This window comes from Homo sapiens, chromosome 13 (genome assembly GCF_000001405.40).
Source record: "Homo sapiens chromosome 13, GRCh38.p14 Primary Assembly".
In the NCBI taxonomy this organism is placed as follows: Eukaryota; Metazoa; Chordata; class Mammalia; order Primates; family Hominidae; genus Homo; species Homo sapiens.
The window spans coordinates 107,134,839-107,136,556 of record NC_000013.11 but is presented as its reverse complement, the minus strand read 5'-3'; the positions used below and the strand labels follow the sequence as shown (position 1 = coordinate 107,136,556).

Sequence of the window (1,718 nt, the reverse complement as noted above, 5' to 3'; positions counted from 1 at the left end):
ATCTGAAATTAATGCATTAGTTCAAGCAGCAGAAAGTAGATGAAAAGTTTGTTTGCTTCAGTGGTTGAACCATGGACTCAATGTTGTGTACTGAATTTAATGTGTCTGAAATTCCAGAACTGATATAATGTGGAGAAAGGAATGTAACATTTTAGAGGGATGGTAATGTTGGGGTAGATTATTATAAGCACATTTTTCACCTATTCCTTTTACTCTGTCACCTGACAGGGTTCAGAAGACACTTGGTCTTCTGAAGTGTCTTGGTTTACTCAGATATTAGAAAGTGCATAGGTGAGAACAGCATTAGTATCTTTAGAAAGCTCTTTGGAAACTGTTCTGTAACTGTTTTATAGCTGGGGATAATAACGAGAGATATAGTCATTGAAATGGGCTCTAATTTTAGTACAAATGATGAACCCTGAGTGATAGGGGCCATTGGCAATGCTTAAGTGCAAGAGAGAAGAGGGTACAATTATGGAAGTGCCAGCAGGAGCATAGTGTCAGAGTGTGTTGATCCAAAGGCACCAATAAAGGTGATTCATTGGTCATGTTGCCCCAAGGAATTAAATAGACAGTGGCATATTAAAATGTTAATTGATTTATTTAACCACAAAATCTCTTAAATTATGGCATGAATACCTACAATAATATTTTATGTCCTCCCAACTAGCAGACAGAATTAAGTCTGTTCACAGAGGCAGATCTTCTTGGTTGAAAGTGAGGTTCAACAGCCTAGAGAATGTTTCCTTTGACATAGCCACAATAAATAGTGTATTTTACAAATCTTCTTCCTACTCATTTTTTTTGTCAGAATGGCTGTACACTGGAGAGAGAAAAATGAGAGATGGAGAGATTACTAGACACCAATTCTTAGTTGACCTTAATTCCTGAGAACTCAAAATATTACTGAGGGGTACTGCTGGAAGTGAAGACTCCTATCACCTCTGAGACAGTCTAAGACCATTTGACATTTATTTGAGTGAGTCTACAACCTTATTCTGGGTTATTTCCCCAATTCTTAAATGAATGGCTGGACTAGACAGAACATATTCTGGAAAGAAGATTTCCTCACATTGGTTCTCTGGTCAGGAAGTGATGTTATTAAGGACAGAAGGAAGCAAACAGGAGCCCCTGGAACTGCTTTGTTCAATAAAAAGAATAAATCAAAAGCAATCTCACATCCCTAGAGGAACTACAGAAAATAAGGGCACCAGTGAAAATTTCAAATACACTCAGGCGGGGATTATATACACATCTACTTTTAACTCACTTGATCTGTCCTAAAAAAAGCTGAATGGATCCAGATAATCATGGGGATTACTATAAACTTTTCCAGGCATTGACCGTAATTGTAGTTATTCTTTCAAGTATAATATCCTAACTTATAATATCCTGTACATGGTTTATGTTTTCTTCTAAACTGACTGGAAAGAACTAGCAGAAGCAATTTACTTTTACCTGGGAAGGACAGTAGTGTACCTTCACAGTCATGCCTCAGAATTATGTCATCTTCACTACTCTGTCATAATATAGTCCAATGGGATCTTGGCCAGCTTGTTACTACACAGAACATTCCAATGATCCACTGCGTTAGTGATATCATGCTCATTGAACCTGGAGATCAGGAATTGGCAAGTAACCTAGAGCCGTAAGACACATGTACACCAGAAGACGGGAGGAGAAATGAAGTTTGAAAACAAAACCCTGCAATAGCATAT

General features: G+C 37.6%; 1 long non-coding RNA gene across 1 annotated transcript; it reads right to left on the bottom strand.

Moving 5' to 3' along the window:
• Positions 1 to 582: 582 nt before the first annotated feature.
• LOC124903205 (uncharacterized) lies at positions 583 to 1,504 on the bottom strand. The gene is made up of 2 exons (XR_007063862.1): positions 1,459 to 1,504; positions 583 to 823 (listed from the first exon to the last, which is right to left on the bottom strand). It is a non-coding gene; the product is annotated as an uncharacterized LOC124903205 (long non-coding RNA).
• Positions 1,505 to 1,718: the final 214 nt, after the last annotated feature.